This window comes from Homo sapiens, chromosome 1 (assembly GCF_000001405.40).
Source record: "Homo sapiens chromosome 1, GRCh38.p14 Primary Assembly".
Lineage (NCBI taxonomy): Eukaryota > Metazoa > Chordata > Mammalia > Primates > Hominidae > Homo > Homo sapiens.
In genome coordinates this window covers 6,101,558-6,128,676 of record NC_000001.11, presented here as the reverse complement: position 1 = coordinate 6,128,676, position 27,119 = coordinate 6,101,558, and the positions used below count along the sequence as shown (strand labels likewise).

The 27,119-nt window shown below is 54.9% G+C and overlaps 1 protein-coding gene across 1 annotated transcript in view, besides 10 other annotated features; it reads left to right on the top strand.

Moving 5' to 3' along the window:
• CHD5 (chromodomain helicase DNA binding protein 5) overlaps window positions 1–26,890 on the top strand; it is a 78,535-nt gene extending 51,645 nt beyond the window's left edge. The window contains exons 24-42 of the mRNA NM_015557.3: window positions 68–178; window positions 459–631; window positions 1,931–2,105; window positions 2,819–2,911; window positions 3,065–3,153; window positions 3,444–3,577; window positions 4,016–4,160; window positions 4,570–4,729; window positions 7,104–7,183; window positions 7,440–7,572; window positions 15,679–15,768; window positions 16,400–16,537; window positions 16,794–16,902; window positions 18,151–18,283; window positions 18,687–18,882; window positions 21,898–22,061; window positions 22,168–22,282; window positions 22,390–22,443; window positions 23,250–26,890. Coding sequence (NP_056372.1) covers window positions 68–178; window positions 459–631; window positions 1,931–2,105; window positions 2,819–2,911; window positions 3,065–3,153; window positions 3,444–3,577; window positions 4,016–4,160; window positions 4,570–4,729; window positions 7,104–7,183; window positions 7,440–7,572; window positions 15,679–15,768; window positions 16,400–16,537; window positions 16,794–16,902; window positions 18,151–18,283; window positions 18,687–18,882; window positions 21,898–22,061; window positions 22,168–22,282; window positions 22,390–22,397 — 2,246 coding nt within the window. The 3' untranslated portion in view covers window positions 22,398–22,443; window positions 23,250–26,890. The remainder of the gene's footprint in view (window positions 1–67; window positions 179–458; window positions 632–1,930; window positions 2,106–2,818; window positions 2,912–3,064; window positions 3,154–3,443; window positions 3,578–4,015; window positions 4,161–4,569; window positions 4,730–7,103; window positions 7,184–7,439; window positions 7,573–15,678; window positions 15,769–16,399; window positions 16,538–16,793; window positions 16,903–18,150; window positions 18,284–18,686; window positions 18,883–21,897; window positions 22,062–22,167; window positions 22,283–22,389; window positions 22,444–23,249) is intronic.
• Window positions 674–968: an enhancer, noted in NCBI's record as "tiled region #11871; K562 Activating DNase matched - State 1:Tss". NCBI's record gives its function as "activates a minimal TATA promoter and a strong SV40 promoter by Sharpr-MPRA in K562 cells {active_cell/tissue: K562}" and the evidence as "EXISTENCE:reporter gene assay evidence [ECO:0000049][PMID:27701403]".
• Window positions 674–968: a silencer, noted in NCBI's record as "tiled region #11871; HepG2 Repressive DNase unmatched - State 10:DNaseD". NCBI's record gives its function as "represses a minimal TATA promoter and a strong SV40 promoter by Sharpr-MPRA in HepG2 cells {active_cell/tissue: HepG2}" and the evidence as "EXISTENCE:reporter gene assay evidence [ECO:0000049][PMID:27701403]".
• Window positions 674–1,620: a biological region, named in NCBI's record as "Sharpr-MPRA regulatory region 11871".
• Window positions 731–1,620: an enhancer, noted in NCBI's record as "H3K4me1 hESC enhancer chr1:6187117-6188006 (GRCh37/hg19 assembly coordinates)". NCBI's record gives its function as "activates a minimal SCP1, AML or CMV promoter by ChIP-STARR-seq in primed H9 embryonic stem cells {active_cell/tissue: H9 hESC(primed)}" and the evidence as "EXISTENCE:reporter gene assay evidence [ECO:0000049][PMID:30033119]".
• Window positions 1,621–2,508: an enhancer, noted in NCBI's record as "H3K4me1 hESC enhancer chr1:6186229-6187116 (GRCh37/hg19 assembly coordinates)". NCBI's record gives its function as "activates a minimal SCP1, AML or CMV promoter by ChIP-STARR-seq in primed H9 embryonic stem cells {active_cell/tissue: H9 hESC(primed)}" and the evidence as "EXISTENCE:reporter gene assay evidence [ECO:0000049][PMID:30033119]".
• Window positions 19,622–19,721: a silencer, noted in NCBI's record as "silent region_137". NCBI's record gives its function as "represses an Ori minimal core promoter by ATAC-STARR-seq in GM12878 lymphoblastoid cells {active_cell/tissue: GM12878}" and the evidence as "EXISTENCE:reporter gene assay evidence [ECO:0000049][PMID:35858748]".
• Window positions 25,547–26,046: an enhancer, noted in NCBI's record as "H3K4me1 hESC enhancer chr1:6162691-6163190 (GRCh37/hg19 assembly coordinates)". NCBI's record gives its function as "activates a minimal SCP1, AML or CMV promoter by ChIP-STARR-seq in naive H9 embryonic stem cells {active_cell/tissue: H9 hESC(naive)}" and the evidence as "EXISTENCE:reporter gene assay evidence [ECO:0000049][PMID:30033119]".
• Window positions 26,008–26,177: an enhancer, noted in NCBI's record as "experimental_8871 CRE fragment used in MPRA reporter constructs". NCBI's record gives its function as "activates a minimal promoter by MPRAs in K562 erythroleukemia cells, with activity observed for both the introgressed and non-introgressed 1:6162645 variant alleles {active_cell/tissue: K562}" and the evidence as "EXISTENCE:reporter gene assay evidence [ECO:0000049][PMID:34662402]".
• Window positions 26,008–26,548: a biological region, named in NCBI's record as "H3K4me1 hESC enhancer GRCh37_chr1:6162189-6162690".
• Window positions 26,047–26,548: an enhancer, noted in NCBI's record as "H3K4me1 hESC enhancer chr1:6162189-6162690 (GRCh37/hg19 assembly coordinates)". NCBI's record gives its function as "activates a minimal SCP1, AML or CMV promoter by ChIP-STARR-seq in naive H9 embryonic stem cells {active_cell/tissue: H9 hESC(naive)}" and the evidence as "EXISTENCE:reporter gene assay evidence [ECO:0000049][PMID:30033119]".

The following is a 27,119-nucleotide window of genomic DNA, read 5'->3' as shown; positions in this document are numbered from 1 at the left end:
GGCACTGCCCGCCAACCCTGCAGCCCTCTGTGGTCCTGCACCAGTGCTTTCCTTCTCTGTCTGACAGGCATGATGTCTCAGGGCCAGAGGCCGGTCACACCCATCCCTGATGTCCAGTCCTCCAAAGGGGGGAACTTGGCCGCCAGTGCAAAGAAGAAGCACGGTAGCACCCCGCCAGGTAGGGGCCAACCCAGCCCAGCCTCAGCTCCTCCTCCGACCAGGTGGCTGCTCCTGCAGAGGAGGGGTTCCCTGACCTGCCCTCACTTGGGCGTCCTGGGACTGCCAGGTGGGCGGCGAGTGGGGCTGTTACAGCGCAGTTTCCTCTGTCTGGTCACCATGCCTCTCAGCTGCAGCCCCTGCTGGGGATGGGAAGGGCCATTGTTGGGAGTCTGTTCCTGGGACCCCGGGGCTGGACCAGGGCAGTCTTTGTCCTCACACTGCATTTGCCTGCTCCCCAGGTGACAACAAGGACGTGGAGGACAGCAGTGTGATCCACTATGACGATGCGGCCATCTCCAAGCTGCTGGACCGGAACCAGGACGCTACAGATGACACGGAGCTACAGAACATGAACGAGTACCTGAGCTCCTTCAAGGTGGCGCAGTACGTGGTGCGCGAGGAGGACGGCGTGGTAAGGTCCCCGGCCCGCCCTCCATCCGCAGCCCCGCCCTCCATCCGCAGCCCCGCCCCCCACTGTGTCCACGCCTTCCACTGTGACCCCGCCCTCCCGCCGCAGCCAGCCCTCCAAGCTGTGACCCCGCCCTCCAGCCGCAGCCCCGCCCTCCCTGCTGTGCCCCGCACTCCAGCGTGTGCTCCGCCCTCCAACCACGTGCTCCGGCCTCTGCAGGGCGGCCCTGTCGCTCCACCCGCGGGCTCAGGACTAGAGACACAACAGTGAGGGAAGGGACGGAGGCAGCGCTGAGGGCAGTACAGCCACATGGGCCGGCCACTGCCCTTGCACACATCAGCCGCCTGCTCCGTGGCGTCATCCCGGCTCCAGTCCAGCTTCCCCACTCTCTGAAGTGCAAGCTGATCTGCCACCCCGTTGCACAGAGCCCTGTCCCCGGGGTCTGGTTTCAGTCCCTACCCAGCTGCACCCTCCCGCCCCTTCCTCAGGGCCTGCATCTCGGCCCTGCACCTGGACCGCCAACGTTCCAGGACGGCCCACAATTTTCTTTTTTTTTTTTTCTTGAAATGGAGTCTCGCTCTGTCGCCCCGGCTGGAGTGCAGTGGCGCAGTATCAGCTCACTGCAACCAACGCCTCCCAGGTTTAAGTGATTCTCGTGCCTCAGCTCCCAAGTAGCTGGGATTACTGGCATGCACCACCACGCCTGTCTAATCTTTGTATTTTTAGTAGAGATGGGACTTTGCCATGTTGGCCAGGCTGGTTTTGAACTCCTGACCTCAGGTGATCTACCTGCTTCGGCCTCCCAAAGTTCTGGGGTTAAGGAATGAGCCACCACGCCTGGTCCACCCCACACTTTTCTCCCTTCTCTACCGGGCAAACCCCAGCTGTCCCCGAAGAGCTCCTTGTGGGTCTCTCCTGGAGGCCTTTCCGTTTCCTCCTCTGCTCCCCACCCTCCGTGCAGACCTGGTGAGCCCATGACCTTTTCCTTTGAAACCAGGAGCCTCCTGAGGGCAGGCAAGGGGGAGCTTATTCAACTCAGTACCTCAGTGCTTGACAGGAGGCGAGGAAATACTTGCTTTGTGAATGGATGGATGAATAAGTAAATGATTGACTGGATAGGGGCAGGGAGAGAAAAGCTAGCTAGGGCCGGGGTGATCAGAGAAGGCTTCCTGGAGTAGGCAGGCCATCCCATTAATCCTTGAGCCCTGAGGGGGCAAAGGGCAGGTCAGGTGGAGGCAGCCTGAGGCTTCCGGGAGGGCAGAGATGGCTCCACCCATGGAACCCGTGGTGCTGCGTCCCCAGGAGGAGGTGGAGCGGGAAATCATCAAGCAGGAGGAGAACGTGGACCCCGACTACTGGGAGAAGCTGCTGCGGCACCACTATGAGCAGCAGCAGGAGGACCTGGCCCGCAACCTGGGCAAGGGCAAGCGCATCCGCAAGCAGGTCAACTACAACGATGCCTCCCAGGAGGACCAGGGTGCGTGCCGGGAGGGAGGGACTGGTGCCCCTCACCCAGAGGCGGAGGGTGGGGCAGGATTCTGTCAGGGCATCCCTGTGCAGAACCCCCGGGAGGTGCGGGCCGGGAGAGCTGGGCGAGTGTGCCAGGAGGGATGGGTGTCCCATACCCAGAGGCGGAGGGTGGGGCAGGATTCTGTCAGGGCATCCCTGTGCAGAACCCCCGGGAGGTGCGGGCCGGGAGAGCTGGGCGAGTGTGCCAGGAGGGATGGGTGTCCCATACCCAGAGGTGGAGGGTGGGGCAGGATTCTGTTGGGGCATCCCTGTGCAGGACCCCCCCGGGAGGTGGGGGCCAGGAACGCTGGGCGGCGCTGGTTGGAGCTGGGAGGCAGCTTTTTGGAGGAAAGGGGACTGGGGGCAGGTGCAGAGGTGCTGGGTGTTTGGGGGAACAAGGTGTGGCTCAGTTCAGTGACTTCACCACTGCTCGTGACGTGGCCTTGGGCACGTCCCTTGCACACAGTATGTGTAATGTGTGGGTACACATGGTACCCTTAGTGTATAACGTGGTGGTGTTGGGATTACTAAATGAGCCCACAGGAAGTATGTGGGCCATTGTCACTGCTTTTTTATGGAGCTGGGGTGCAGGGGCTCGGCGTGGCCCTGGGCATGCTTGAACTTGAGGGTGGGCTTTGCTTGTACAGCTCACTCCGTGCCCCTCTGTCTGGCCCCCTGCAGAGTGGCAGGATGAGCTCTCTGATAACCAGTCAGAATATTCCATTGGCTCTGAGGATGAGGATGAGGACTTTGAAGAGAGGCCGGAAGGGCAGAGTGAGTCTCAGTGTTAGTGGTCTGGGCTACTGCTGAGGCCATGTCAGGGGAGCTGATGGCAGCAGGAGCGGGGCTGGTCTGGGGTCCCGCTGTCCTTGGGGATCAGGAATCTCTGGGCTCCCACCTGAGGAACTGTGGCGGGCTGCTCCCCAGGTGGACGACGACAATCCCGGAGGCAGCTGAAGAGTGACAGGGACAAGCCCCTGCCCCCGCTTCTCGCCCGAGTTGGTGGCAACATCGAGGTGGGGCCTGTCTGTTCCCGCATCTCTTTCTGCCCCTGCTTCCTGCTGCCCCTGGGGTATGGAGGAGGGCTGGGGGACTGCCCCGGGTCTCATGCCAGGTAGAGGCGGAGCTTGGACAGAACTTGGTCTGGTCTTCGCCGTCAGGGTCCTGCCCCAGGTGGAGGCCCCTGCCTTCTCTGTGCCCCCTTCCTACCTTCTCCTCCTCCCATGCTTTTCTTCCCCCATCCCAGAATCCTCCACCCCCACCCCTCTCTGTCCTGGGCTCATACTCCCACGCTCCACTCGCCCAGGTGCTGGGCTTCAATGCCCGACAGCGGAAGGCCTTTCTGAACGCCATCATGCGCTGGGGCATGCCCCCGCAGGACGCCTTCAACTCCCACTGGCTGGTGCGGGACCTTCGAGGGAAGAGCGAGAAGGAGTTTAGGTAAAGGGGCTAGGTGGTGGCCCAGGGTGTGACCACCTGCCCCTGAGTAGGGCAGGGTCCTGCGGGTGAGCCCCACAGAGGGCAGCATTTGCTTCCGCCAGGATGAGGCCGTCTGGAAAGTTCACTGCCACTTGGACTTTGGGTGGCTAGAGTCCTGGTGCCGGGCAGGGCTGATTTGCAAACACTGACCATCCGCCCCTGCCCAAACCAGCTGGTGTTATGGCAGCGAGGAAGATCCCGGTCACCCAGGGCTGTCCTAGGAGGTCCCCTCGCCAGGGAGGCCCTCTCTGTCCTTTCCCGGGCCTGGCCCAGGCCTGACTAGGAGGTGGGCGATGGTTGAAGATCAGCCAGGAGTTCCCCTGGGGTCCTGCCAGCCCTCTCAGAGGGTTCTTGCCGGCCCCCCACTCCCTGAGCCCCAGTCCCCCCCCCCCACCCCAGAGCCTATGTGTCCCTCTTCATGCGGCACCTGTGTGAGCCGGGGGCGGATGGTGCAGAGACCTTCGCAGACGGCGTGCCCCGGGAGGGCCTCTCCAGGCAGCACGTGCTGACCCGCATCGGGGTCATGTCACTAGTTAGGAAGAAGGTGGGTGAGTAACTCTCTGTAGGGCCCTTCCTGGTGGCTGCCTGGGCTCCTGGTGCTGTCCCTTGTGGGTCAGTGGTCAGAGAACAAGTGCCTGGTTCAGGCCACACAGCTGCCCAGGGTCCGAGTCACTCCAGAGGGACTGACCTGGAAAGCCTTTCTGGGTGAGGGGCCTGTGGGGTGGAGGCCAGGATGGTGGGTTACATACAGTTGGAGGACACACAGAGGGTGGGAGGGTGGGCAGGGGAGCTTGTGGTCAGGAGGGGCCTGGCTTGGCCAGCCTTGGGCGGAGGTAGCAGCTACCCCAAGCCTGTGACACTTTCAGCCCCCCTGGCTGCCCTGAGGCCCTTAGGGCTGAGTTGCCACCACTGCCCTCCCTCTTTCCCTTCCACCTTCCCTCCCACCACCCCAGGTTCAGGAGTTTGAGCATGTCAACGGGAAGTACAGCACCCCAGACTTGATCCCTGAGGGGCCCGAGGGGAAGAAGTCGGGCGAGGTGATCTCCTCGGACCCCAACACACCAGTGCCCGCCAGCCCTGCCCACCTCCTGCCAGCCCCGCTGGGCCTGCCAGGTCTGTGGGCTGGGCGGGCCGGGGAGGGCACTGGGGTCATGGAAAGTGGCAAGGTCACAGAAACCCCTAGTCTAACCCACAATCCCACAGAAGACGGCCTCTCCTTCCCCCAAAGCCTCTGTTTGCTGAAATGTCACTCTACAGAGAGTTTTCCATTTTAATGACAGTTACGAGATATAATTTATATACATACTGCAAAATTCACTCTTTTAAAAAACTGGCTGGGCGCGGTGGCTCACACCTGTTAATCACAGCACTTTAGGAGGCTGAGGCGGCAGGATCACCTGAGCTCAGGAGTTTGAGACCAACCTGGCCAACATGGTGAAACCCCGTCTCTACTAAAAATACAAAAGATTAGCCGGGCATGGTGGCACGTGCCTGTAATCCCGGCTGCTCGGGAGGCTGAGGCAGGAGAATCGCTTGAACCTGGGAAGCGGAGGTTGCAGTGAGCCAAGATCACACCACTGCACTCCAGCCTGGGGGGACAAAGCAAGACTCCATCTCAAAAAAAAAAAAGTACTATTCAGTGATTTCTAGTATATTCGTAGGGTGTACAACCATCGCCACTGCCTAAGGCCGGAATATTTTCATTCCCCCTGAAAAAGAAACCCTGTACCCATTAGCAGCCACTCCTTATCCCCCCACCCCAGGCCTGGGCAGCCACTAACCTGCTTCCTGTTTCTGGATTTCGCAATGCTGGATGGTTCGTGTATATGGCACTGCACAGTGCGTGGGCCTTTCTGTCTGGCTTCTGTCACTCAGCCTGGGGGTTCCAGGTTCATCCACATTGCAGCGTGCATCAGTGCTTCAGTCATTCTGTCATTCTGCCTTATGGCTGATAATGTTTTCTTTTTCTTTCTTTCTTCCTTTTTTTTTTTTTGAGATGGAGTTTCGCTCTTGTTGCCCAGGCTGGAGTGCGATGGAGTGATCTCGGCTCACTGCAACCTCCGCCTCCCAGGTTCAAGCGATCCTGCCTCAGCTTCCCGAGTAGCTGGGATTACAGGTGCCCGCCACCACACCTGGCTGATTTTTGTATTTTTAGTAGAGACGGGGTTTCGCCATGTTGGCCAGGCTGGTCTTGAATTCCTGACCTCAGGTGATCCACCCTCCTCGGCCTCCCAACGTGCTGGGATTATAGGCGTGAGCCACCGCGCCTGGCCGATAACGTTTTCTTGTATGAATTTACTGCATTTTGCTTATCCATTGCGCTGTCGATAGATTTTGGATTGTTTCTACTTTTTGGCTGCTGTGAATAATGCTGCTGTGTTTTATGTTTTTGCGTGGACATACGTTTTGAGTTCTTTTGGGCAGATATCTAGGAATGGAATTGCTGGGCCGTGTGATAACCCTGTTTTCCCTTTTGAGAAACTACTAGACTGTTTTCCAAAGCAGCTGTACCATTTTACATTCCTGCTAGTATTGTGCGGGAGTCCCAGGTTCTCCACGTCTTCAGCAGTAATTGTTCTCTGCCTTCATGGTTCTAGCTGTCCTGGGAGCATGAGGTGGTGTCTCACTGTGGTTCTGATTGGCATTTCCCTGATGCCAAGGACGCTGAATGTTGTTCGGTGTGCGTATTGGCTGTTTGTAGACTTGTAGAAATGTCTTTTCAGATTCTTTGCACACTTAATTGGGTCATTTGTGCCCGTGTCACTTTGGTGATCTAGGTATTTATTTGGGTGAAGCAAATACCTGTTAAGTACTTGGTCCGTCGGTTGGGCCTCACAGGCCTGGGGCGGACATAGCTATCCCATGGTGATGGGTGAGGCCAGGCCCTGAGAAGCTGCACCTCCAAGCACAAGGGAGCCCTTGGAGGTGGACACATCTTGGTTTGCTTCTTGGCTTTGGCCTGAACTCTGTCTAACCTTGGGCAAGTCACCTAACCTCTGTGGGCCTCCGCTTTCCCGGCTGTGCCCACCTCCCGGGGCTTCTCAGAGCTGTGTAAGTGACCAGCACTTTGCAGTGTGTTGGCGGCTGGCTTGGCAGGGAGGAAATTCACCCCCTGTCCAGAGGCACACACCAGCCAGCCCGCCCGAAAGCTGGGACCAGAGCGGGTGTCGTGGCTCCCAATCTGGGCCTCCATCTGCCTCACTTCCCTGCCTCCAGATGAGCAGCCACGGCTGTGTGCGGCCCCGTCCTGACAGCCCCTCACTTTGGTCTTACTGGGTTCAAGGTCCTCCAAGCACTCCTGAGTCAAAGGCCTGGCCTGGCCTCTCTGACTTAGCCGGGGATCCTGCTTGTCTCTCCTGGAGGTGCTTGGCTGCAGTGGAGCCTCCCGAAGGCCAAGCCCCCATCTCTCCTCTCTGCCACCCCACTCCCTGCCCTACTCCTTCCCGTCTGAGCCCACCTGTCTCAGCTCTTTCCCTTGATCTTTCAGACAAAATGGAAGCCCAGCTGGGCTACATGGATGAGAAAGACCCCGGGGCACAGAAGCCAAGGCAGCCCCTGGAAGTCCAGGTGTGGAACTTGCTGGCGTCTGGGCCTGTGGTGTGTGTGGGGTGGAGGTTGGGTCTGGGGACCTTCTCAGGCCCTGTACAGCGAGGTGGAACCCAGGCCTCCTGGCTCCCTTTTCGGGGCTCTGAATCGGCGGGGAGCAGGCTAGGAGCAAGCGACGGGAGCCAGGAGACTGGGTTCCCAGCCCAGCGCACGTTCCCCGCCCTCCGTTCCTGGTGAGGCCCCAGGCCTTGTAGTTCTCCTGGCTTTTCCTCTGCAGGCCCTTCCAGCCGCCTTGGATAGAGTGGAGAGTGAGGACAAGCACGAGAGCCCAGCCAGCAAGGAGAGAGCCCGAGAGGAGCGGCCAGAGGAGACGGAGAAGGCCCCGCCCTCCCCGGAGCAGCTGCCGAGAGGTTGGGGCTTCTTGCAGGCCACCCACCCCAGTGCCATGTCTGGCCTCAGCAGGCCTGGGTTCAGAGAAGGGCAGGTGGCTGTACTTCCGCTCATTTCTCCCTGGCAGAGAGGTAGACTCCAACCCTCTGCAGGCCCCCTGGTGAGGGGAGGCCAGGAGCTCAGGCCTCTATACATGGACTTAATGGACTTTTTTTTTTTTTGGAGAAAGGGTTTCGCTCTGTCACCCAGGCTGGAATGCAGTGGTACCATCTCGGATCACTGCAACATCCGCCTCCCGGGTTCAAGTGATTCTTGTGCCTCAGTCTCCCTAGTAGCTGGGACTACAGGCGTGTACCACCACACCCAGCTAATTTTTGTATTTTTAGTAGAGACGAGATTTCATCATGTTGGTCAGGATGGTCTCGATCTCTTGTAGCTGGGACTATAGGTGCATACCACCACACCCAACTAATTTTTGTATTTTTAATAGAGACTGGGTTTTGCCATGTTGGCCAGGCTGGTCTCGATCTCTTGACCTCGTGATCCGCCTGCCTCGGCCTCCCAAAGTGCTGGGATTACAGGTGTGAGCCACTGCGCCCGGCCATTTTTTTTTTTTTTTTTTTAATTTTTAGTAGAGACTGTTGGCTGGGCTGGTCTCGACCTCCTGACCTCAAGTGATCCACCCACCTCGGCCTCCCACAGTGTTGGGATTGCAGGCATGAGCCACCTTGCCCGTTGGTCTTTAACTTTTCTTACCATACAGAGATTGGGGGTGATTGGGCTACTTTTTTATTAGTGATTTCTGACTCAATTGCATTGTGGTCTGAAAACATGAGTCTATATGAGGTTGTTGAAACCTGCTCTCTGGCCTGATACGGTCAGATTTTGTAAATGATGTATGTGTGCTTGAAGAAAATGTCTGTTCCCTAATTGCTGGGTTTAAGGTTCTAACTATATGCATTAGGGCTGGGCATGGTGGCTCACACCTGTAATCCCAGCACTTTGGGAGGCTGAGGCAGGTGAATTACCTGAGGTCAGGAGTTCAAGGCCAGCCTGGCCAACATGGCGAAACCCAGTCTCTATTAAAAATACAAAAATTAGTTGGGTGTGGTGGCATGCACCTGTAGTCCCAGCTACTCAGGAGACTGAGGCAGGAGAATTGCTTGAACCTGGGAGGCAGAGGTTGCAGTGAGTGGAGATCGTGTCACTGCACTCCAGCCTGGGCAACAGAGAGGGACTCAATCTCAGAAAAAAAAAAAATATATATATATATAATACACACATATATACATATACACGTATATATATACGTATATATGTACGTACATACGTACGTATATACGCACATATGTACGTATGTACGCACGTATGTACGTACATATGTACCTATATATGTACGTATATATACACACACGTATATATATATGCGCATTAGGTCAGTAGATAATGCATGCTAATTATATTGTTCAAGTTTTTAATATCTTTACTAGTATTTGGTTTGCTTTGATCAGTCAGTTTCTGAGAGACTTGTGTTAAAATCTCTCATTATGATTATGGATTAATCTCTTTCTTATAATGCCAGATTTTGCTTCATATCATTTGAGACTGGGTTGTCAGGTGCATATTTGTTCAGGTTTTTAATATTTTTCTTGTGAAGTGTGCTTCTAATTATTGTGTAATAACCCTCTTATCCCTCTTTAAAGTTTTTGCTTAAAAGTTTATTTTTGGGCCAGGTGCGGTGGCTCATGCCAGTAATCCCAGCACTTTGGGAGGCCGAGGTGGGCAGATCACAAGGTCAGGAGTTCAAGACTATCCTGTCGAACATGGTGAAACCCGTCTCTACTAAAAATACAAAAAAGTTAGCCGGGCATGGTGGCGAGCGCCAGTAGTCCCAGCTACTTGGGAGGCTGAGGTCGCACCACTGCACTCCAGCCTGGGTGACAGAGCGAGATTCCGTCTCAAAAAAGAAAAAAAAAGTTTATTTTTGCTGATTTGGGTTGCTCTTTCTTTTGTTTAGTATATATTTGTTACGCCTTTTTCTATTCCTTTTTTTTTTTTTAAGATAACAGCTTTATGGTGATATAGTTAACATATCATACAGTTGAGCCATTTAAAGTATACCATTCAGGTCGGGCATGGTAGCTCACACCTGTAATCCCAGAACTCTGGGAGGCTGAGGTGGGTGGATCACCTGAGGTCAGGAGTTTGAGACCAGCCTGGCCGACATGGTGAAACCCTGTCTCTACTAAAAATACAAAAATCAGCTGGGCGTGGTGGTGGGCACCTGTAATCCCAGCTACTCAGGAGGCTGAGGCAGGAGAATCACTTGAACCTAGGAGGCAGAGGTCGCAGTGAGCCGAGATGGCACCACTGCACTCCAGCCTGGGCAACAAGATCGAAATTCTGTCTCAAAAAAAAAAAAGTAATGAAGTATACCATTTGTTATTTTTAGTACATCCAGAGTTGTGCAACCATCACCATTATCTAATTCCAGAACATTTAATCACTTCAAAAATAAATTCTTCTTACCCATTGGTAATCACTCCCCATTTCTTCCTCTTCCTCCCAGCCCCTGGCAATCACTTCTGTCCTATGGACTGGCCTATTCTGAACATTTCATACCAATGGAATAATGCAGTACTTTGGCCCTTTGTGTGTCTTCTTTCACTTAGCATAGTGTTTTTAAAGTTCATCTATGTTGTGGAATATATTAGTACTTCATTCCTTTTTTTTTTTTTTTTTTTTTGAGACAGGGTCTTGCTCTATCACCCAGGCTGGAGTGCAGTGGCATGATCTTGGCTTAACTACAGCCTTGACCCCCTGGGTGCAAGCGATCTTTCCACCTCAGCCTCCCAAGTAGCTGGGACTACAGGTGCACATGCTAACACGCCCGGCTAATTTTTGTATTCTTTGTAGAGACGGGGTTTTGCCATGTTGCCCAGGCTGGTCTTGAACCCCTGGACTCAAGCAATCCTCCCACCTTGACCTCCCAAAGTGCTGGGATTACAGGCAGTACTTCATTTCTTTTTATGCCCAAATAATATTCCATTGTATGGATCTACTATGTTTTGTTTTGTTTATCCATTCATAGTGATACACATTTGAGTTGTTTCCACTTTTTGGCTACTGTACACATTTGTGTACACATTTTTTTGTGTGAGTCTAGGTTTTCAGTTCTTTTGGGTATATATCTAGGAGTAGAACTGCTGGATCATATGGTAATTCTCTGTACCATTTTGAGAAACTGCTGAATTGTTTTCCATGTGTATTGCATCAGTTCACATTCTTACCAGCATGTGTGAGGGTTCCAGTTTCTTCACATACTTGCCAATACCTGTTATTATCTGTCTTTTTGATTATAGTCACCCTAGTGGGTGAGAAGTGGTATCTCATTGTCATTTTGATTTGAGTTTACTTTGTGCATAAAGATGTTGAATATTTTTTCATGTGATTATGGCTTATTTGTGTATAATTTGTTGAAGAAATGTCCTTTCAGATCCTTTGTCTACTTTAAAATTGGATTTTTTTAAATTATTGAATTGTAAGAGTTCTTTTTAAATTAATTAATCAATACTTTTAGAGACAGGGCCTTACTATGTTGTCCAGGAGGGCTTTGAAGTCCTGGGCCCAAGTAATTCTCTAGTATTAGACTTTTGAGTAGCTAGGATCACAGGCGTGTACCACTGTGCCTGGCTTGTATGAGTTCTTTATATAGATGCATGTTCCTCATCAGATATATGATTTACAAATATTTTCTTTCATTTCTTCACTTTTAATCTCTTTGTAATGTTTTAGGTCTATCTTTTGTAGACGGTGTATAGGGGATTCATCATTTAAAATCTAATTATAGGGTCCCTATCTTTTAGCTGGCAAGTTTAATCTCTTTACATTTGTTGTAATAACTAGATATGTGGATGGAATTCTGTTATCTTATTTTGTACTTTATATATTACCCTTCTCTTTTCTCCTTTTTTCTCTTTTCCTGCCATCTCTTGGATTGATCAAATTTTCTTTATATCTCCTCTTTTCCCCCTCAACTCATTTGGAAGGTTTATAGTCAATTTCATTCTGTACTCTTAACATTTTTAACATGTATACCCCTGAGTAATATGAGGACTTTAGATAGCTTTAGCTCTAACTCACTTCCCTTTCATCTGCCACGATGCTGTTGCCCAGTATTTTAGTTTCAGTTTGTTTTTACTTTCCCAAATTTGTTGTTATGCTTATTTCTAAATTTTTAATCCTTTTTTAGATCTTCTCACATTCTTACCAGTTTGTGTTTGCCTATTTGTTCATCATTGCTTCATTCAAAGTCCTTCCTAAAGTACACCTTTAATGGTGCTTTCAGCAATTTTTTTGGGAATGGTAAATTCTCTCATTGTTATTTTTCTTTTACTCTTGAATAGTTAGTACAATTGAAGATGGGATAGGGATCTTCCCTCAGCACTTTGCAGATATTCTTCCTTTTTTTATTTGGCATTCATTATGCTGAGAAGGCTGCTGAGAAGCTGAGAAGGCTGCTGTTGGTGTAATTGCTGCTCCTGTCTAGGAAGTTTGTCATTTCTATCTTTTCTCACATTGAAAGACTGCTTTGAAGACATTCTCTTTGTCTTTGGTGATATGTAGCTTCACTACAATGGAGGGTATTTTTTGTTTTGTTTTTAGAGTGAAGTTTTTGTTTATCTTGTGTGTGACTCACTGTGATTCTTAAAGCTGAATATTTATGTCCTGCATCAATTGTGGGAAAATTCTCAGTCATTCTCTCTTTGAATATTTTCTTTGCCCTCATTATGTTTATTTTGTCCTTCTGGAATTCCTATTACTCATTGATTGGTTCATTCATCCAACAAACATATATATACACACATGCATATATATATATATTTTGAGCCTGCTGAGTGTCAGATGCTGTCCCAGGCACTGAGGACACAAGCAATGAACCAAAACAGCTGAAAGCTTCATTCCGTGGAGTTTGTATTCCACTGGGGAACACAGGCAATCCACAATAAACAGAAATACGTGTTGTTCAACCACAGACTCCAAATGCTCTAAAGAAGAAAGCAGAGTACAAGGTTAGCAAAAGATGGGGGCTGATAAGTTTTCATATCTTTTGCTTCTTTTTTGTTATCTATTTCTCTGCCAGGCTTTTTGAGTAATCTTCAGATCCAGCTTCCATGTATATTTTCTTTGCACAGCTGTTTTTTAAAACCTTCCCAGTTGTATTATTTTGCATGGCTGTGTCACAAATTACTGCAAACTTAGTGGCTTAAAACAGCACTCACCATGAGCTCACAGTTGTGTGGGTCTGATGCCTGGCGTGGTGTAGCTGGGTGTTCTGCTCAGGATATCACAAGGTTCAGGACATCAAAGTATCGAGTGGGTTGAGTTCTCATCTGGAGGCCCTGGGGAAAAGTCCACATCCATGCTCACTCCTTGTTGTTGGCAGAATTCAGTTCCTTGAGGCTGGAGGACTGAGGTCCCATTTCCTTGCTGGCTGTCAGCTGGGTCCGTTTTCAGCACCTGGAAGCCACCACATTCCTGCCATGTAGCCTCGTGTGTCTTCAAGCCAGCAGTGGTGAACAGAAACCCTCCCGTGCTTCGCATCCTTGACTTCCTTTTCTGTGACCAGCCAGAGAAAAGGGCTCGTGTGGTCAGGTTAGGCCTACTCAGGTCATCTCCCTGTTTTAAGGTCACCCGTGCCGCAAAACGGAACCTGCTCTGGGGAGTCGAGTTTGTCCTCTTCACCTTCCAGGGGATCTTGCAGGGCGTGGACACCAAGGGCCGGAAGTCTTGGAGCCCATGTTGGAATTCTGCAATTAAATTCTGCAATTAAAATGTTAATGATTGTGTGTTTCCTTTCTTTTTTTTTTTTTTGAGACAGAGTCTCTCTCCCACCTCAGCCTCCCAAGTAGCTGGGACTACAGGCACCCGCCACCACGCCCGGCTAACGAAGTCTGGCTAATTTTTTGTATTTTTAGTAGAGACAGGGTTTCACTGTGTTAGCCAGGATGGTCTCGATCTCCTGATCTCGTGATCTGCCCGCCTCGGCCTCCCAAAGTGCTGGGATTACAGGCGTGAGCCACCGCGCCTGCCCCCCCCTTTTTTTTTTTTGAGATGGAGTCTCGCTCTGTCGCCCAGGCTGGAGTGCAGTGGTGCAATCTCGGCTCACTGTAGCCTCTGCTTCCCGGGTTCAAGTGATTCTCCTGCCTCAGCCTCCTGAGTAGCTGGGATTACAGGTGCCTGCCACCACACCTGCCTAATTTTTGTATTTTTAGTAGAGACAGGATTTCACCATGTTGGTCAGGCTGGTCTCAAACTCCTGACCTCAAGTGATCCACCCACATTTCTAGAAATTTTATGTTTTTTTTCTAGTTTTGAGGGAGTCTTATTCTTTCCCTGTGGATTCTCTTCCTTCTTTTTCTTTTTTCTCTGTCTTTGGTCACCCTAGACATATTTATTTTAGAGCAAGCTTTTTCAACCTGTGTGGTCCGTGGGACAAATGTGGCCCAGGATGGCTTTGAATGTGGCCCAACACGAATTCATAAACTTTCTTAAAACATTATGAGATTTTTTTTGTGATATATATATATATCACAAAAAAATGTGTGTGTGTGTGTTTATGTGTATATATATATAAGCTCATCAGCTGTCATCAGTGTTTAGTGTATTTTATGTGTGGCCCAAGACGGTTCTTCTTCCAGTGTGGCCCAGGGAAGCCGAAAGATTGGACACCTCTGTTTGAGAGTCTCTGACATTGTCCTGTTAGCCCCAGGCGCTTGTCTGCTTCCTGTGCGTCGGCTGGTGGGGGATCATTGTTTTCTGGGTTTAGATTGGGTGCATCCTCATCAGGAATTGTGATTTTTTTTTTTTTTGAGACGGAGTCTCACTCTGTCACCCAGGCTGGAGTGCAGTGGCGTGATCTCGGCTCACTGCAACCTCTGCCTCCCGGGTTCAAGCGATTCTCCTGCCTCAACCTCCCGAGTAGCTAGGATTACAGGCACGTGCCACCACACCTGGCTAATTTTTAAAAAATATTTTTGGTAGAGACGGGGTTTCACCATATTGGTCAGGCTGGTCTCGAACTCCTGACCTTGTGATCCTCCGGCCTCGGCCTCCCAAAGTGCTAGGATTACAGGCGTGAGCCACCGCGCCCGGCCTGGATTGTGGTTTTTATCTGCAGGAGCTCCGTGTCCTCTGGGGAGTGGGAGCATCCCTCCCCTTTTGTTTCTGGAGGCTCAGGCCGGGAGGTTTCATGGGCGGTGTCCCTCTGGGAGCAGCTTTATGATGCTGTCTCTGCCTTGGGTGGTCCAGTTCATATCCCACACCCACGAGGACAAGGCGTTGGGTGTGGGTTCCTCACTGGAGACCTTCTTTTCCTTGATCCTGTGGTGGAGACAGGCCATCTCACTCCCGTGGCCAGTGGTGAGAACTTTCCTTCAGAGACCACGGTGTTGGACCGTGTTGGCATCATTCCAGTTCTCTGCATCTTTTGGGCTTGAGGCCTCCCCTGTCCTGCCTGGGTGCTGAGACACAGCTCCAAGTTCCAAGCTCTCCAGGCTTCTTCCTGGTGTCTCATCACCCCAACCTGGGGCCCCTGGACACCAGCTCCTGCTTCCTCACCTTCAGTTTCCCCTTCCTTCCTGGCACCCGGTGATTTCCTTCTCTTCTTGGGAACTCATCTTCTGTGTGCTGTTTTTTTTTGAAACAGCGTCTTGCTCTGTCACTCAGGCTGGAGTGCAGTGGCGCCATCTCGGCTCATGGGAGCCTTTATCTCCTCGGCTCAAGCGACCCTCCCACCTCAGCTTCCTGAACAGGTGGGACCACAGGCGCATGGCGCCAAGCCCAGCTAAGTTGTTGTATTTTTTGTAGAGATGAGATTTCACTATGTTGCCAGGCTGGTCTTGAACTCCTGGTCTGAAGTGATCCTCCTGCCTCGGCCTCCCAAAATACTGGGATTACAGCATGGGCCACTGCACCTGGCCGAGGAGAGCTCTTTTTGGTGGCACCTGTTGGACTCTGCGGAACATATTGATGGATAGGGTTCCATGGGTGGAAAGCCACGAGCCCAGAGTCCTCTGTGTTTTCTGGGACCCCACCCCATGCCGCGAACCCTCTTTTTCTTGCAGAGGAGGTGCTTCCTGAGAAGGAGAAGATCCTGGACAAGCTGGAGCTGAGCTTGATCCACAGCAGAGGGGACAGTTCCGAACTCAGGCCAGGTCTGGGGCTCTTCTGTGTTCTCTACCTGTGCCCCATGGTCCCTTGAGGGTGCCCTCTGGACCCTGTTCAGCCTCCCACAGTCTCCCAGGCGCCGTCCCCTTGGCCCCAGGCCTGATTGGAGCTGGCAGGTGGGAGCCTGGATTCACCAGCCCCTCACAGCCAATGCCGGGGACAGCCTCTCCCCTACTCTCTCCTGAGCCCTGCTGTGCCCTTGCCGCTAAGAGAGAGGAGAGCTGGTCATAGAGCCTGGCCTGGGGGATTTGGGGCTCAGCTGGAAGCTTTGCATACCTCTAGGCCCTGGAATGTTCTGGAACAGTTGTCCTCAGATCAGCCCCCTCAGGCAGCTCTGTCTTTGAACTTGAACTGTACTTTTCACAGCGCTCTCCTGTCCTACTCCTGGGTGGTCCTGATGTGGTCGGGGAGGAGCACTAGGACCTGGAGCTAAGCCTCCCTGCCCAGGACAGAGAGAGAGGCCGTTGGCTTGTTTAAGACCCTTCTGGGCAGCGAGTCCCCTGAGGACAAGAGGATGTTTTCTACTTGCCTCCTGGGTCCCCCGTGCTTGGCAGAGAGAGGCCGCTGGGCACTGCTTTTTGGATGGATGGATGAATGAATGTGATCTGTCCCCGGCAGATGACACCAAGGCTGAGGAGAAGGAGCCCATTGAAACACAGCAAAATGGTGACAAAGAGGAAGATGACGAGGGGAAGAAGGAGGACAAGAAGGGGAAATTCAAGTTCATGTTCAACATCGCGGACGGGGGCTTCACGGGTATTGGGGTTGGGGGTTGGGCAGAGAGCTGAGGCTTCCTGACTGTGGGTCCCAGGAGTCTAGACCAGTGGTTAACTTTATACTAGAGTGTGACTGGTTGATGGAAGTCCATCGTATAACCTTTCTTAGCCACCCTGGAACACTGGACCTCTGGGGGTGGAGGCAGTGGCAAGTAGGGAGGGAGCGGCTCTCCAAGCCTGCCTGTGCGTGAGAGCTGGGGCACTTCTCACCCTGCTCACCTTGGCTTGTTTCCCAGAGTTGCACACGCTGTGGCAGAACGAGGAGCGGGCTGCTGTATCCTCTGGGAAAATCTACGACATCTGGCACCGGCGCCATGACTACTGGCTGCTGGCGGGCATCGTGACGTATCCTTGGCCAGGCCGGGCTGGGCAGGGACTTGCCCGTTCCTCCGTGGACCTCGGGGAGAGCCCTCTGAGAGCTCCGGGGGAAGCCTTCCTCGTTCTTCCTCAATCTTCCTCACTTCTGGCGGTGGCTAGAAATCCTCGGCATTGCTGTGTCGCCCGCTCCCCGCCGCTGTCATCCCGGCTTCTTCCTTATGTGTCTCTGTCTGGGTCCACATTGCTCTCTCTTTTTTTTTTTTTTTTTGAGATAGAGTTTCACTCTGTCACCCAGGCTGGAGTGTAGCAGCTTGATCTCGGCTCACTGCAACTGCTGCCTCCCGGGTTCAAGCGATTCTCCTGCCTCAGCCTCCTGAGTAGCTGGGATTACAGGTGTGCCCCACCACACCTGGCTAATTTTTGTATTTTTAGTAGAGACGGGGTTTCACCATGTTGGCTAGGCTGGTCTCGAACTCCTGACCTCAAGTGATCCACCCACCTTGGCCTCCCAAAGTGCTGAGATTACAGGCGTCAGCCACCACACCCGGCCTTTTTCTTTTTCTTTTTTTTTTGAGATGGAGTCTCGCTCTGTGGCCTAGGCTGAAGTGCAGTGGTGCGATCTCAGCTCACTGCAACCTCTGCCTCCTGGGTTCAAGTGATTCTTCTGCCTCAGCCTCCTGAGTAGCTGGGACTACAGGCATGCACCACCACTCCCAGCTAGTTTTTGTAATTTTAGTAGAGACGGGGTTTCGCCTTGTTGGCCAGGCTGGTCTCGAGCTCCTGGCCTCAAGTGATCTGCCCACCTTGGCCTCCCAAAATGCTGGGATTACAGGCGCGAGCCACCATGCCTGGCCCCAAATTTTCCTCTTCTTACAAGCATCCCAGTCATTGAGTTTAGGGCCCACCCTAGTCCAGCATGACCCTTTCTTAACTTCATTACATCTGCAAATACTCTATTTCCGAAAAAGGTTCCCATTCACAGGCACTGGGGGCAAGACTTAAACGTATGCACCCCAGGTTGTTGGGGTGAAGAGTTAACCCTCTGAAGCCCCGGGGCTGTGTCTGGTGCACCCAGGGCACCTGTCAGTGTCTGCTGATACTGTCACTGTTGTGTCATCAATATGTTCCTCGTGCAGCTGGGCTTAAGGACTTGCCTGAGAGCGTACAGCCAGAATGCCGACCCCCGGGCTGGCCCCTCCCCCTCCCTGAGCTGCCTCCCCCTACGGCCCCACCACTTCTAACGGCCAGGTTTGCCCTTAATGGTGCCCCACCCAGGCACGGCTACGCCCGCTGGCAGGACATCCAGAATGACCCACGGTACATGATCCTCAACGAGCCCTTCAAGTCTGAGGTCCACAAGGGCAACTACCTGGAGATGAAGAACAAGTTCCTGGCCCGCAGGTTTAAGGTCTGTCTTCTGAAGGGCCAGGGCTGCACGGGGCAGGGAGGGACGGTGTCAGGAGGACCCTCGCAAAGGCAAAGGAATTAGAGAGCAGCAACCCCTCCCCGTGTACCTGGGTCACGCTGCCACGAAGCAGCAGTATGTCCATCAACTAACAGTGGTGGATCCTTGCTCTGGCCCTGGCCCCACTGGGAAGTATCTGCCGCCTTGGGGTGTTGGGGTACAGAGAACCCAGCTTGGTGACAGCTCCAAGGGTTGGCCACCACCAGGCCAGGGTGGGCAGCAGATGGCAGTACGTCCTCTTTCCCTCCTTTCTGCCGGGAGCCTTGGCCTGGGGTGGGCGCTGGTGGAGCACGGAGGGTAGCCATTCAGCGGGAGGGGCCGGGCCGACGCTGCGCCCCGCCCCCAGCTGCTGGAGCAGGCGTTGGTCATTGAGGAGCAGCTCCGGAGGGCCGCGTACCTGAACATGACGCAGGACCCCAACCACCCCGCCATGGCCCTCAACGCCCGCCTGGCTGAAGTGGAGTGCCTCGCCGAGAGCCACCAGCACCTGTCCAAGGAGTCCCTTGCTGGGAACAAGCCTGCCAATGCCGTCCTGCACAAGGGTGAGCAAGTCCTGCCCCCCACGGTGCAGCCCCCCGCCCTTCCTCCTGCCCAGCGAGCGCTCTTGGCTGTAGATGAGGGCACTGATGGGGTAGGGGCTGGGGACAGATGTCAGCCCAGAGGGCGGTGGACTTCTGGGCCAAGATGGAACAGTCCTGTCATCAGACCCCTTATCTCCCCTGCAGGGAAACTGAGGCTGCTTGCTTCTCCAGCCTGTTTCTCAAGCCTGCTCTGTGCGGGCCCCGGCCCGGGCTAGTGACACAGAAAACCACGAAACTGTAAAGGCTTCTGAGTCCTGACAGCGTGACTTAAATGCACTGTGTCTTTAGCCCGGGCAATACCCATCAGCCTGGAGCCTTCTCCTTGGCCCCGTGTGGGAAGGGAAGTAGTTTGCCCAAGATCTCCCAGGATTCAGAGCTTTGGTGCTGGCTGCACATCTCTGCCTGTGGTCACAGGGCACACTTCTGCCCTCGGGGCTCCCGGCTGGTTGGGGGAGGGGTGGCCCTGTGGTGAGAGTTGCTGGACCCCTCCCTGTGCCCTGCAGCCCTCCCTGGTGTACTCTGATCCTGTGCCCAGTAGGGCCTGGGGCTGCAGGTCTCCCTGAGAACTCTTAGGAGGGAAGCCCAGCGTCAGGCAGCGCTTCTGGCTGGCTCGTCTGCAGCCCGTGGGCCCTTGCCCAGCCCAGAGGGGCTCCTGGGAGGAGTTCTTTGGAAGCTCCTGCTGTGTCCCCACTTGGCAGTGCTGCCTGCAGCTTGGGAGGGCCTGGTGCAGGGCACCCCCTGGTGCCCGGTTCTGGGCAAGTGCAGTCATACACCCTTGCAAATAAGCCCCAGCTCTCGGGCTACCTCCCCTGGCACAGCCCTTCATCCCTCCATCCCTCCATGCCTCCATCCTTCCACCCCTCCATCATCCCTCCATGCCTCCGTCCTTCCACCCCTCCATCCCTCTATTCTTTCACCCCTCAATCCCTCATCCCTTATCCCTCCATCCTTCCACACCTCCATCCTTCCATCCCTCCATAATTCTTCCATGCCTCCAACCCTCCATCCCTCTGTCTCTCCATCATCCCTCCTTCCCTTCATCATCCCTCCATTCCTCCATCCTTCCACCCCTCCATCCTTCCATCCTTCCATTATCCCTCCATGCCTCTGTCCTTCCACTCCATCCCTCATCCCTCTGTCATCCTTCATCCCTCCATCCTTCCACCCCTCCATCCCTCCATTATCCCTTCATCATACCTCCATCCCTTCATCCTTCCATCTCTCCGTCATCCCTTCATCATCTCCATCATTGCTTCATCCCTCCATCATCCTTCCATTCTCCCTCCATCCTTCCACCCCCATCCCCCATCTCTCCATCATCTCTCCATCCTTCCATCTCTCCATCTCTCTACCCGTCCATCCCTCCATCATCCCTTCGTCCTTCCATTCCTCCATCCCTCCATTATCCCTTCATCATACCTTCATCCCTTCATCCCTCCGTCTCTCCATCTTCCCTCTATCATCTCTCCATCATCACTCCATCCCTCTATCATCCTTCCGTCATCTCTCCATCCCTCCATCCTTCCACCCGTCCATCTCTCCATCATCCCTCCATCTCTCCACCCCTCCAACCCTCCATCATCCCTCCATCTTTCCACCCCTCCATCATTCCTCCATCCCTCCATCATCCCTCTATGCCTCCATGTCTCCACCATCCCTCCATCATCCCTCCATCTCTCCATCATCCCTCCATCCCTCCATCCCTCCATCCCTTCACCCCTCCATCACCCATCCCTCCACCGTCCCTTCATCCCTCCATCCCCCATCTCTCCATCATCCCTCCATCCTTCCATCCCTCCATCATCCCGTCCCTCCACCTTCCTTCCATCCTTCCATCTTCCATTATCCCTCCATCTCTCCATCCTTCCACCCCTCCATCCCTCCATCATCCCTCCATCCCTCCATCTCTCCATTATCCTTCATCATCCCTCCATCCCTCCATTATTCCTCCATCATCCCTTCATTCTTCCATCATCCCTCCATCCCTCCATCATCCCTCCATCTCTCCATCATCCATCATCCCTCATCCCTCCATCATCCCTCCATCTCTCCATCATCCCTCCATCCCTATATTATCCCTCCATCATCCCTTCATTTTTCCATCATCCCTTCATCCCTCCATCATCGCTTCATCCCTATATCCCTTTATCTATCCATCATCCCTTCATCATCCCTACATCCCTTTATCTCTCCATCATCCCTTCATTATCCCTCCATCCCTCCATCTCTCCACCGCTCCATCCCTCCATCGTCCCTCCATCTATCCATCATCCCTTCATCATCCCTCCATCCCTCCATTATCCCTCCCTCATCCCTTCATTCCTCCATCATCCCTCCATCCCTCCATTTCTCCACCCCTCCATTCCTCCATCATCCCTCCATCTCTCCATCATTCCTTCATTATCCCTCCATCCCTCCAACATCCAACCATCATCCTTTCATCATCCCTCCATCTCTCCACTCCGCCATCCCACCATCATCCCTCCATCTCTCCATCATCCCTTCATTATCCCTCCATCCCTCCATCATCCCTCCATCCCTCCATCATCCCTCCATCCCTCCATCTTCCCCCATCCCTCCACCTTCCCTCCATCCCTCCATCTTCGCTCCATTATCCCTACATTATCCCTCCATCCCTCCGTCCTTCCACCCCTCCATTCGTCCGTCCTTCCACCCCTCCATCATCCTTCCATCGCTCCATCATTCCTCCATCCCTCCATCTTCCCTCCATTATCCCTCCATCATCCCTCCATCATCCCTCCATCCTTCCACCCCTCCATCCTTCCACCCCTCCACCCCTCCTCTCCTCCATCCCTCCACCCCTCCACCCCTCCATCCCTCCATCCTTCCATCCCTCCATCCTTCCACTGCTCCACCCCTCCACCCCTCCACCCCTCCATCCCTCCATCCTTCCACTCCTCCATCCCTCCACCCCTCCATCCCTGCATCCTACCATCCCTCCGCCTCCCACCACAGTCCTGAACCAGCTGGAGGAGCTGCTGAGCGACATGAAGGCCGACGTGACCCGGCTGCCATCCATGCTGTCCCGCATCCCCCCGGTGGCCGCCCGGCTGCAGATGTCGGAGCGCAGCATCCTGAGCCGCCTGACCAACCGCGCCGGGGACCCCACCATCCAGCAGGTCAGGCTCGGCCTGTGTGCCCCGGCCCGAGCCCCCTGGCGTGCCCCTGGGTGGAGGCTGGGTGGGGGGCCTGAGACCACCTGTGAAGCTGAGTCCTTGCCTCCAGGGCGCTTTCGGCTCCTCCCAGATGTACAGCAACAACTTTGGGCCCAACTTCCGGGGCCCTGGACCGGGAGGGATTGTCAACTACAACCAGATGCCCCTGGGGCCCTATGTGACCGGTAGGTGCCCGTCCGCTCCGGGCAGCATGCACACGGGTGCCCGCCGGGCCCGGCCTGCCTGCTGCTGCCAACGTCAGGCAAGCCCGGCTCTCCTCTTTTTTTGACAGATATCTAGCCGTCCTCGAGACTTCCCTGTGTTGCAGCGCTCATTTCCAGCTGAGGTGAGGGCTGCTGGGTGCTGTGTTCCTCCCCGCCACCCCATTGCTGGCAAACCAGGCCTGGCCACAGTCAGCCCTGCCCCTGCACTTGACTCCCGTCCCTAAGTCCTGGAGCTTTTACTGCCTCCGGCGGCTTTGAGAGCCACCCACCTGCCTGGAGCCCCTCTACCTTGCCCCCTTGGCCCTGGGACCACCTTGTGGCCAGCGTGTCTGTCCACTGGGAGGCTGGGGTGGCAGGACATGAAGGGGTCGGTGGACTTGGGTGAGCTCCTGTGTGTGCACATGTGTTCTCATTTGCACACATGTTCCCAGCGGAAGTCAGAGACTGCTGCCCCCGCCTGGAGCCCTGTCCTGCCCCTGCTGTCCTGCTGGTGGCAGACATCACATCTTGTCTTACACCCTCACTTCCTGCCCAGGACCAGGAGGGTGGCTGAGGGTTTTGTGGGGGCTATTGGCCAGGAGAGGGGGCTTATTTCAGAGAAACTGCCAGTTCATTCTGGTCTTCTCTGGGGCCACCAGCCTCCACTACGCTGTGTCTGTCCCTGTGGGAACCGTGTCTTGCTGGAGGAGGCTCCAGAGGGGCTTCCTGGCTGGCTGCCCCTGCCCACTGCTGCTTCCTGGGTGCTCTCGGCACTCTGGGTGTAGCTCATGGCCTGGCCCGGCAGCCTGTGGCTGGGAGGTCATGGCTGGGGGGCACCCCGATCATAGTTGGTTGTGATAGGTGGAGAAGCAGCTACAGGCTGTTGGGTGCCACCCTGATGCCCCCTATAACTGCCCACCTGCTTAACCCACTGATTTGCGTTTTGCAGCCACGCCTGCCGGGCCACCTGCCCGACCCACATGGGAGAGAAAAGCTGCCACCTTTTTAGGAGCCAGCGCCACCTTGGGACAAAAAGGGAAACCTAGTAATGCCATCACATGGAGGACGAGGCCCAGCTCAGCTGGGCCAGAGCCCAGAAGTGCCACCTCATCATAATTCAAGTGTTCTTCCACACAGCGTTGCCCCCACAACCACGCCGGACGTGCCCCCTCGCCACCTTTTCCAGACGACTTCTTAGAAGAGATTTCATTTATTTGTACATCTTTTGCACTTTCCTATTGAAGACTTGAACACGTTTGTCTTGATAAAAGTTGGATGACGTATGGAAGATTCGAACCTGCAGCACTGATGTCTCTTTACCGATGGGTTCCAGACCCAAGGTAGTCCTGGCACTGCCCTGTGGACTCAGCCCAGCTGGGGAGGACATGGCGCCCGGTGCCCTAGGAGCCCTCAGTGTCCCCTACCTGACCTGTCTGCACCTGTGTGACAGCCCCTTCTGATTTGGCCCCCTGCCCGCTTGGAGCCTCCCAGCACCAGACAGGGCAGGTTTGGGGAGCCGCTGTCCAGCCCTATGGTGAGACCCTGGCTGACATTTCCCCTCCTTCCTGCCAAGGCTGGAGGCCGCCAGGTGTTTGCTCTCTCCTTGTGGGGAGGTGGATCCTCTGCCAGCAGGTGTCTGTCCCCGGCCCAGCGCATCTTGAAGGCCCTGGACTCTGTTACCAGTGGGGGGCCTGTGGCCCCGGCTCTTCACAGCAGGCAGAAGCGTATGATCCCAGGGAGGGTGGGCTGGGGGGGGGGCAGCACTTGCCTCGGAGCCACTGCTGCGTTGGGTTTGCCTTCTGCCAGAGGTGTGGTTAAGGGCAGTGATAGCTGCGCCCCAGCAAGGAGGGTCATGGGCCCTGAGCTGGCCCAGGAGACCCTGGCCCTGCCCTGTGCCCTGGGATGCCTACCCTGCCCACCTCCGGAGGTGGAACCGGGCTGCCCCTGGGGGCCTGGACTTGTCCCATTCCCCTGTCCCTGGAAAGGCCTTCCCGGGGGCTTTTTGCCTGAGGCTGCACTCTTGGAAGGCGTGGGGAGAGTTCTGCCTGGAGGGGGACTGGACCCAGTGCCCTCTGCAGACCCCTCCCAGCCGCAGCACCAAGGGCTTGCTGCCTTGTTTCCTGCCAGGAGCGCCCTGACATCCCAAAACCATCTTCCCACATGTGGGTTGTTGGAATCCCACCCACTCCCCCGGACCCTGCCCCTCCAAGTTGGGGACGGAGATGGGGAGCAGGTCAGGCCCTCCCTAGGCCTGTTTGTGTGTGATCCTTCTCCTGGCCCCAGGTCGACCTGGAAGGCGTTTCTGAGTCTTGTACTGGGACCTTCCCAGGGAAGGTGCCTTGGGGTGCAGAATCCTGGGAATGTTAGGAAAGGGCTGCGTGAAAAACCCAGCTGGGCCTGGGGTGGAGGTGCACACGGGCTGGGGCTCAGCTCCTTGGAGAGGGCCTGCCTGGGACTGAGGGGGCCAGGGCTGGGTCAGGATTCACCAGCTTGTGTTGCAGACACTGGAGCGATTGCCTGGCCCTCCCTAAGCCCTATATGCCTCACTCATAATGAGGCTGTCTCTGAACCCCGGAGGGCGGGACCTACAAGTCCTTCCTCTTGGCGCATTCCCACACTCCAGTCTGGATCCAGGTCTGCAAGGCCAGCCCGACCCTGACACTGCACGTGGGCGTAGTGGGGAGCACCCTGGAGTGGAGATGATTGTCAGCGGGCTCACATGTTATGGTTCATCCACATGCGTGTTGTGTGCTCTGCGGTGCCTCCTGGCAAAGGGTCCTGGCTCGGGTCAGAAGCTCACTCCCGTGCCCTCGTCCCCAAACAAGCAGTGGCAAGCACTGGGGTTGGCCCTCGTTGGGAGCAGTGCCCACCTTCCTTGGCCCACAGCAGATAGGTCCCGAGCAGCAGGACTGGAGGCCTGTGGCGGTCAGGGCAGGGGTCTGTGTCTCCACCCCAAGGGCTGATGGTCCCTCCCCTGTGCGCCTTCCTCTCAGGCAGGCTTGCTCTGTCCCTTCCTCTCTGCTTCCCTCCCAGGCCTCGCCAGGGCTCCCTTCTCCTCTGCCTGGTTAGACTCGGGCACCCAGGAAAGCCTGGCCAGGGCTCCTTTGGGCCTGGGCCCCCTGCACTGCCTGGTCCAGAAGGGGTGGTGCTGTCCGTGGCCAGCACCCCGGGGCCCGGGAGGGGTGGGCTACTAGAGTCAGAGCGGGTTTGGGGCTGACCAGTTTGGGAGAGGAGAAAAGATCTGAGAATGTCCTTCTTGGTTTGTCAGTCATCTCTGCCAAAAGTGGTGATGGTGGTGTCCGTATGTTTGGCGTCTTTGGGCTGGGTTTGGTTTTTGCTGCTGGTAGAATCAGGGTCCTCGGGCATGAACGCGAGCCCAAAGTGCCAGTCTGCGATTGGAAATTTCCAGCCACTTTAAGCCAGTGCTGAGTAGGGCTTCTGCAGAGCCATGTTTGAGCCAAGGTCTTGGAAGGCATTGCCCCATGGGCTCAGGTGACTCGGGGTGGAGTGAGCACGTCTGCAGGGCCCTCTCATACACGCCTGAGGCAGAAGCAGCGTCCCCCGTGAAAGCCACCTTCCGAAGCTCCTGCGTTTTTTGCAAACTTGGCTTCCCCCAGGGGCAGGCTGGACTTTCCCTGCCCCCTATGATTGAAGTCCTCCTGCTTTTGGGGGCTGCCTTCCCAGAGTCCCCCGGGTGCTCCCCTGCCGAGGTCAGGAGCTGACCAAGCCTTGGCCCGGTGACACCTGCAGCCCTCACTCCTGTCATCCCAGGACACTTGAGGCCCAAGGAGGTGGAGTGGAGAGTGGGCTCGGGTACATGGGAGCCAGAAGCCAGATGGACTTGGTCAAGTGTCGGTCACTTGGAGCCTCCAGTGTGCGTCAGGGTCTGTGGGCAGGGGACAGGGCGTGGGTGGGGGCCGAGGCTGGCACGCCCCTCTGCCCTCACCGTCTTGGTGACCTGGCCTCGGCCCCTCCCCCAAGTCTCTTCTGTGCAAGGCCCGCCTCGGCCTCGGCAGCTGGTTCCTGTCCTGTTTTCTGTGTCTGAAAGTTTACAGGTTGTGGTGCATCAGCCCAAACTCACTGGCGTTGTGTTTTTTTTTTCTTTAATTTTCAGATTTTTTTTTTAAACAAAGTATTTTTTTAGGTGCGATAACCCAGAAAGGGCCCGTTGGGTGTGTGTGTGTGTCCTGAACTCCTCAAGCAGCGATTGGAGCCCAAGCACCCCTGGAGAGGAAGGGAGGGTCCCCACTGGCCCGTGGGGTCTGAGTTCAGGGGTGTGGAGGGAGCAGACTCCACCGGCCCAGGCCCAGCTAAGAGGGGGCCGACCCCTTTCCCCAGGCACAGCCCCAGGCTGGCAAAGGGAGGGCCCTGGGCTGGGTGCAAGGCGCGCCAGGAGTCCCAGCCAGGGTGGCCCCGGCGGGGGCGGGTCCAGCTTTGGAAGCCAGGCTCCCCTGTGAGCCGTGGCTTGTCTGGTCTTCGCCCACGGGAGGCTGGACAGAGGCTGTAGCCAACACAATCACCTTTACTTTGTACTCTGTGTGTATGTTTTGGTTTTCTGTGTTTTAATAAATCCTTTGGGAAAGGATTTAATCAGAGGCTTTTTCTTTTTAAGATTCAAGATTTAGAATGGGGGTGGGGGCTGGGGCCAGGGAGGAGTGGTGGGGGGTGGGGGCGTGTCCGGAAGCCTTCTCTTGCCTGGGATGGTCATTTCACGGGTGCAGGGGCTCACTGGGAAGGAGGGGAGCCCGAAACAGGGGTGTGCTGGGGTGAGGCCCCTCTCACCTGTACCCCAAACACATACCATGAGAGCTTCCCCAGG